General features: G+C 44.2%; 1 protein-coding gene across 4 annotated transcripts in view, besides 1 other annotated feature; it reads left to right on the top strand.

Annotated features, from left to right (window-relative positions):
• NUDCD3 (NudC domain containing 3) overlaps nt 1,817–8,064 on the top strand; it is a 111,540-nt gene continuing 105,292 nt past the window's right edge. For all 4 annotated transcript variants that reach the window (XR_007059994.1, NM_015332.4, XM_011515247.3 and 1 more), the window contains exons 1-2: nt 1,817–2,066; nt 7,191–7,507. Coding sequence is in view for 3 of the 4 variants with exons in the window: in NM_015332.4 (NP_056147.2) it covers nt 1,875–2,066; nt 7,191–7,507 (509 nt within the window). In the remaining variant the exon portion in view is untranslated. The remainder of the gene's footprint in view (nt 2,067–7,190; nt 7,508–8,064) is intronic.
• Nucleotides 2,066–2,235: a silencer, noted in NCBI's record as "silent region_18144". NCBI's record gives its function as "represses an Ori minimal core promoter by ATAC-STARR-seq in GM12878 lymphoblastoid cells {active_cell/tissue: GM12878}" and the evidence as "EXISTENCE:reporter gene assay evidence [ECO:0000049][PMID:35858748]".

Here is an 8,064-nt window from a genome sequence, read left to right as displayed (position 1 = left end):
AGAGGGAGACCCTGCCTCTTAAAAATAAAAAAAATAGAAACTATCGCTTGTAGAAGAATTTTGATGTCATTTTAAAGACAAATAGCCACATTTATTTGAAAAGACAAAATATTCCTCTCATTTGCAACTGTCTGTGTGAGGTTGCATGTTTTCATATACTTCAATGAAAACAACATAATGCAAATTATGTTGCAGTGAATGCAGATGTGAGAATCTTGTGGTCTTCTTTTTTTTTGTGGAGACGGAGTCTAGCTCTGTCGCCCAGGCTGGAATGCAGTGGTGTGATCTCGGCTCACTGCAACCTCTGCCTCCCGGGTTCAAGCGATTCTCCTGCCTCAGCCTCCAGAGGAGCTGGGATTACAGGCACCTGCCATCACGCCTAGCTAATTTTCGTATTTTTAGTAGAGACAGGGTTTCACTGTGTTGGCCAGGCTGGTCTCGAACTCCTGATCCTCCCGCCTCGGCCTCCCAAAGTGCTGGGATTACAAGCATGAGCTACTGTGCCGGCCAAATCTTGCTGTCTTCTAGTAGGCTCATTAAAGAGATTTGCAAAAATGTAAAACTATGTTACTCCTCTCACTGAACTTTTATTGCTTTGAAGAACATTATTTTTTGCATAAAAGTATGTTAACATGTAATGTGTTTTATGGTCATTTAAAAATGATTAAATAAATATTTAAACATTTTATGTTTTAATTTCTAATGTGGTAAATATTGATAAGCATAACCCATATCAACAAATGTTCTTTGGAATGTTCAACAAATTTTAAGAGGATTAATGGTCCCTAAATCAAGAGTTTCAGAACCACTGTTCTAGGGCAATTTACCTGAGTTGGATTTTATTTACAATTCATTAAAGCTTATACACTATGAAGACATGTTAACTTGCATGTTTTAATCTAGAAGAGGTGCAAATCATTTCTATACACTAGAAATGATAATCTATGGTTTTATCATCTTGTAGAACACCAGCCAGCTTTGTATCCAACCTAATCTTACTCTAATGCTTTGTCAAAATGTTTAATCTCCACTTCCTCAAAATGCTTTTGAACCAGCTTTACCATATCATTGTTAATTTGCTGAAGAAATCTTGGATATGTGTTCATGATATATTTGTATGAGTGTCATGCTTTTTACTTTTTTAAGATTATACTTTGACAGACACTAACAACATATGTATATATGACGTATATATGTATATACATACTATACACACACATACACGTACATATTTCACAACGATGGCATACGGATTCTCTATTCTGAATCTAGCTCTTTCCACTTAATATACGTTGAATGCACTCTTTATTTTCTTCGTCATCTTGACTTTCTTCTGATGCAACGCCCTGAGTTTAACTCACAGATCTGTTAATAAGAAACCCATACATCCCACATATACGCATTTTCCCGTCTCTGGCTCACTAACAAAAAGCTTACCCTAGCCCCATCTTTAACCATAGGTTCCAAATACCCAGGCTGGAATTCAACACAGAAATAAGAAAGGATCCACAGACAACGTGACAAAAATCCGAGCAGTCACGTGACACTGCACGCCCCATAATTTTTTTCCGCCCGCTTCAAACATGGCGGTCAAGCCCTCGCAGCGCAGCAGAAGCCACGGGCTTCCTTCCGCGTAGGAACCTCCTTGCTGCCCTTGTCGGGCTCTTTTGTCTAAGACCACCTCAAGGCAAAGCCCGTGGGGCAGCTGGGTCTGGGGAAAACAGCCCGGGGCCGCGGGGGCCGAACGAGCACGGACCGGAAGTTCCGCAGCCGCGCCGTCCGGCGGAGCCGTTGGCTGCGGACGCCGGAAGTGGCCAGTCGGCAGGTCTGAGGCGGCGCTGTGTGTGTGAAGCGTACCTAGGGCGGGAGGCGACATGGAGACAGGGGCGGCCGAGCTGTATGACCAGGCCCTTTTGGGCATCCTGCAGCACGTGGGCAACGTCCAGGATTTCCTGCGCGTTCTCTTTGGCTTCCTCTACCGCAAGACAGACTTCTATCGCTTGCTGCGCCACCCATCGGACCGCATGGGCTTCCCGCCCGGGGCCGCGCAGGCCTTGGTGCTGCAGGTGAGGCGGGCGGGCCTGCGGTCTGGGGAGCCGCCGCCCCCGGCCTGCCCTGACTCCTGGCGCCCGCTCCTCCAAGCTCTCCCAGCCTGTTTCCTCCTTTTCCTGGTGTCCTGGGGTTGAGCTTGTGAGAATGGCTTCAGTAATTTGAAGCGCGGATTGGATGTCAGCTTATTCCGCTGAGGTGTTCGCTCCGGACGTCCTGAGGTTTCAGAAGTAGTAAGCCGACTGTTAAGAGCCCTACTCAGCACCCGCCAGCGCGTACCCCTCACGGTGCTGGGGGCCGCTAGTCAGGGAGCGAAATCCATGCAGGCCAGACAGAAGGAAGGACATTTACAGCAACAGAAACGTGCATGCCCCAGAACTACCAAAGACTTGAGCTGGCGGGGATGACGGAGGCATTGTGTTGATCAATGGGTGTGGTCGCTTGTTTGAAATGTGACTTCCCAGGTCAAAGACTGTCAATGTAGTGCTTATTAAAATTTCTATTTGAGCTTAATTCCGTACCCTCCAGGTTAAGTTTATTGTATGTTGGAAACGCTGTCAATACTCATTCAGTGAAGTTGACTGGGCACTTTTGAATGTAGTGGTAAGCAACCTTTTGCTGAATGTAGTTTACACTCTTAGTTGCCGCAGGTGAGGGTGATACGGGTGTTTAAGTAATGGTTTCTCTCTCCTTGTGACACAGTTAAAGAGAGAAAACCCAGAAAGTAATAGAAAACTTTTTAAGGGCAATTATTTGATGGAGCCCATTGTAAAGAAAGGAAATAGAAATGATGGTTGAGAAGTGAAGTTTTTATAAGAGAGGTGGGACTTCTGATGAGATTAAAAGAAACTATTCAGCCAAGTATTAAGCCTATTTGTAGAAACCCAAGAAGATAGAAATGCTGATGATACCTCCCTCAGTTCTCTAGATGTTACAGTTTATAAAATGCTTCAGATGTTTCCTCCTGAAGTCTTAATGCATGCTGCAGGTTGGTAAGATGTTACTTTCCTCAGCAGAAGCCAAAGCTTTGAATGTCTTGGTAGCTACCAGGGTAATAGGGCCAAACGAGGAATGGGGTTCCATTAGGATTCAATTTCAGAACTTAAGGCTATTCCTCGTCCTTGTCAGTGGCATAAGTGCCATCTTAGTGATGAGAGAGCTGTTGGAGGTGGCCTTTAGCAGGATCTTATGGCAGGTTAATGAAGTCTTGCCATTTGATCTTCAGTGTCTCTGTGAAACAGATAAGTTTCAAGTTTACGTACCAATTCAGCAAGGTTAAGTGATTTGACCAAGAACACACAGCCAGTTCACCGTAGAGCTGAAACTAAAAATTTCATTTTGTGGATTCCAAATCTTCCTGTTCTGTTGTTTAACCATTCCATAGTAGGATGAGAACACTTTTGTCTAGATTGATTGTAGTTTGCAGAAAGATGTGGAGGAGAAAGGAGTATATACTGAGTAATATGTATAGTATCAGATGTTTTATATTCTGGGGTCGTTATCTTATTTAACCCTTAATATAACCTGAGAGGTTGGTCTTTGTTTCACAGATGAACTGACAGAGCACTCATTAACCTGGTAACTCATTTACCTGGTAACACCTCTTACAAGACACTTCCATAGGTTAGGATTTGGTGACCAGTCTAATGAAGTAGTGGAGATGGGGAGCAGGGATGGAGGAAGGGGAGGGATGGGTCAAAGATGATCCAAGGTTTCAACTTGGGTGACTGGAATAGTGATAATGCGTTAACTGAACTGTCACCTGGGTTTAGGGGAAAAAGTTCAGTTTTAGACAGGTTGAACTTGAAGTTGCAGGTAGGAGTCCCTGCCCATAGGCTATTGGAATTACTGGACTAGATCTTTTGGGAGCTAGAGCAACTGGAGTGGTCCGAGGGAGAGAGAAGAGCCAAAGGTGAAGAACAGGCCTTGGGGAATAATCTTGGTGGAGAGCAATAAGTTTCACAGAAACCAAGGGGACAACAGTCTCCAGCAGATGCTTAAGAGAGGTGTCATGTTTTCTGGAAGTGGTTCTCAACCATCAGCATCGCTTAAGGAACTTTTTTCTTTCTTTTTTTTTTTTTTTTTTTCCTGGAGATGGAGTCTCACTCTGTCGCCCAGGCTGGAGTGCAGTGGCATGATCTCAGCTCACTGCAACCTCCGCCTCCTGGGTTCAAGCAATTCTCCTGCCTCAGCCTCTCGAGTAGCTGGGACTGCAGGTGTGCGCCACCACGCCCGGCTGATTTTTGTATTTTTAGTAGAGATGGGGTTTCATCATGTTGGCGAGACTGGTCTCAAACTCCTGACCTTGTGTTCTGCCTGCCTCGGCCTCCTAAAGTGCTAGGATTACAGGTGTGAGCCACTGCGCCTGGCCAAGGAACTTTTAAAAGCACATATTCCTGGATATTTTGGTTGGGTAGATCAGGGTGAATCCTGGGAACCTGTTCTTTTTTTTATTTTTTTATTTTTTATTTTTGAGATGGAGTCTCATTCTGTTGTCCAGGCTGGAGTGCAGTGGCGCAATCTTGGCTCACTGCACCTCCTCCTCCCAGGTTCAAGTGATTCTCCTGCCTCAGCCTCCCGAGTAGCTGGGTTTACAGGCATGTACCACCATGCCTAGAGAATTTTTGTATTTTTAGTAGTAGAAATGGGGTTTCACCGTGTTGGCCAGGCTGGTCTTGAACTCCTGACCTCAGGTGATCACCCGCCTCAGCCTCCCAAAGTGCTGGGATTACAGACATGAGCTACTGCACCTGGCTGGAACCTGTTCTTTTATCCACAAAAGCTCATTTGACAGGAGGTTTGTAAAGGTGATTTCAGTATTGACAAGGGTTTTATTGTGGGGTGGGACAACACTGAATGAGACTGAGTGACTTGGTACCAGCATAACATTATTTCTTCGTGGTAGTAGGTGATCTCCTGACCTCCCCACTCCTACTCATCTGCCTCTTAGGGTTTTTTTTTTTTTCTGTCCCTAACTTGATGGCATAAGACTCCTTCCTGGGGTCTGCCTCTCCACCCCCACCAGATGTGGGATGCTTGGTGTCTCTGCTGAATATAGGCAGAGAAGAATTTGGATGGGAGTGCTGGGCTGCATCATTGTGGAACTTCAAAGCGTTCCCTTAATATTTTGGGGAGTACAGTGTTGGTGTAGAGTTAGGCAGCTCATACGTTTCCTTTTAAAAGTTTGCATAGCCTGGATACACAGCTTGAAGAACCTCAGCAGGAATGATGTATGTGAAAATTGCATTCCATTTTATAATACATTAGTATGTTTTAAGACAAAAATCGTTTAGACTGACAAGCCATTCATTATAATCGATAATGCTGTTTTTTTTGGAGTCCACTTTGAGAAGTGCTCCTTTGTAGAAGTCCTTGAAACTAGAATCAGGAAAGCTAGCTACATCCTGTTCCTTACATAAATTGTTGAGAAATCTTGGGAGAGTCACTTCACCTCTTGTCAGCTGAGAAGATTGATTGGAGGTTACAGATTAGAGTTCTCTTCCAGCCCTATGTTCTGTGACTCTAGAATGAGTACTGAGAACATGTGATAGTTGGGAGGTTGGCAGTGGTAGCACTTCCTGGTGGTGTGAATGGGTAGGTCAGAGAAGGCTGGATGTACTGAGTGAGCAGAGGCAGCTGCATGGTGAGGACTATCAAGTCTGGGGGTTCTGTGTTCGAAGTCTCAGGTGTTAGGAGAGAGAGATCTTGTTGCTTTGCTTTTGTGGAGTTAAGATGAAGATCTGGAGTATCAGCAGGATGAGCAACTCTGAAAGCATGGACTCAAAGCGGTAGAGACCCTAATGTTAGAATGAAGTCAGGGCTTCAGGTTATCTGCAGAAGTAAAAATGGTTCTGGTGTTGTTTCCAGTTTTTAACCTTTTAGGATTTTATTGATTTTTTTTTTTCCCCTCTGCCTACATCATCATCTCCCCACACTGTTTGGTGTGTGCTGCGTAGTTTTTTACTTCTTTTGCCAGCAGGAGCTGGGGCAAGTTACGTAACCTTTCCAAGCCTTATTTTTTTCTCATTTTTGAAATGTTGATGCTGTCTTCTTCACAGTATTTTTGTGAGGGTTTTGAGAGAATGTTTGTAAAATAATTTGACACAGTTAGTCTGTTAGCACCCTTTTGACTGCCCGCGCAGTGCACAGAACATTGTTATTTAATACCTGTCCGCATTCTAGCCCTTTGGAATCTGACTCCCACCCATGTCCCAGGTTGCTGTCTCAGCCTTTCCTTCCTCCAGTTATTGCAAGAGCTTTTGCCCTTCCTTGACAAGCCTATTCTTAGAGCTGTGGCATTTCCTCCAGTGGTTCCCTGTGGAAGATGTGCCTCTCATTCAGGGTCTAACTGGGATCCTCCTTGTTCCAAGAAGTCTCCCTAGATTTCTTTCGCCAGACATGCTCATTCCCACCCATACCCTGACAGGGAATTGAGGGCCTTGTCATGCCCCCTCTTGTATCAGAGTTTTCATGTGTGGGTATGTCTTGACTGTACTTTTTTGGTAGAGAGGTCCCAGCACCTTCATGGGTGTGACTGTTTCCCAGAAAATGTTAAGAACTTGTTTACACACCAGAATTTTGAGTTCTTAGGAGGCAGCAGAAATCATTTTGATGTTTTTTGTGCGTGCGTGTTTCTTGCACACTGTAGGCGCATAGTAGATGTTTGTTGAATTGAATGTCCATGCAGTGTGGTGAAAAACAGCAGCAGTCCTGTAAACCTGGTTCCATTTTGGGAATTGAAGTTCAGCCATATTTTCATGTTTCATTTGTGAGTCTGAATTTTGGTGCCTTTATAACCCACAGTTGTACCAGGACCGTGTATTCTTTGCATTGTGAACAAGACTGGGGTCTGTAAAATAATGACAACAAAGACCATCTAACTGTACATCTTTTAGGTATGTAAATATTGTTAGCCTTGGCTTATAAGTTTCTGATTTTGTTGATTTTGGAATCCTCCTGTTAAACACTGTTTACCTGTCAGCTTTTGGTGAAGTGGCAGTGCATTTCCATTTTGCCAGTGGGAAAACTTGTCAGTTTCTGACTTTTAGTTCTCTCCTTCACAGATTTTACGACATTTCTACAAGATATGTGGTACAGTATTGGGCAGATGAACTGATTGCTGGATTGGTGTTTGATTTTAGGTATTCAAAACCTTTGACCACATGGCCCGTCAGGATGATGAGAAGAGAAGGCAGGAACTTGAAGAGAAAATCAGAAGAAAGGAAGAGGAAGAGGCCAAGACTGTGTCAGCTGCTGCAGCTGAGAAGGAGCCAGTCCCAGTTCCAGTCCAGGAAATAGAGATTGACTCCACCACAGAATTGGATGGGCATCAGGAAGTAGAGAAAGTGCAGCCTCCAGGCCCTGTGAAGGAAATGGCCCATGGTTCACAGGAGGCAGAAGCTCCAGGAGCAGTTGCTGGTGCTGCTGAAGTCCCTAGGGAACCACCAATTCTTCCCAGGTGGGAATTTCTACTTTGCAGCTTCCTTCTTTCTTGCGTAACATCTGGTGTTTGGGTTTCTCCATAATTTATTCTTACTTTGTAACACATTAATTCTTGATCTCAGTATTTATTTAGCTCTTCATGTTTGTAAACTGCTGCATTACAGTCTTTCAGTTATGTAGGATGGGAGGTCAGTTGGCTTAAGGTCAGTTCCCTCATTTGGTAAGGTCAGTAGTCATACAACCATTTGAGATCCAGAGCCAAAATTAGAGCACTTGACTCCTCTCACAAAGACCTAACTTTATCTGTGTTTAGAGGCTTAGCCTCAGCAGCTCGATTGTTTGTGTTTTTCTCTCTGCAGGAGCACTGCTAGGATTTGCTCATGATGCCTGAGGTATAATGGACACCTGAAATGACAGTCTGTTTTAGGTGACTGGATTCACATCCTCGCTATGCCGCTTCCTGAATGTATTACCTTGAACAAGCAGTATAACCTTTCTGTGTCTCAGTTTTCTTCTCTATAAAATGTAGGTGATAATAATAGTACCTGTCTCATAGAGCTGTTGTGAATTTTA

This window comes from Homo sapiens, chromosome 7, assembly GCF_000001405.40.
Source record: "Homo sapiens chromosome 7, GRCh38.p14 Primary Assembly".
Taxonomy (NCBI): Eukaryota; Metazoa; Chordata; class Mammalia; order Primates; family Hominidae; genus Homo; species Homo sapiens.
The sequence above is the reverse complement of the archived record's forward strand: the minus strand, read 5'-3'. Positions and strand labels throughout refer to the sequence as shown.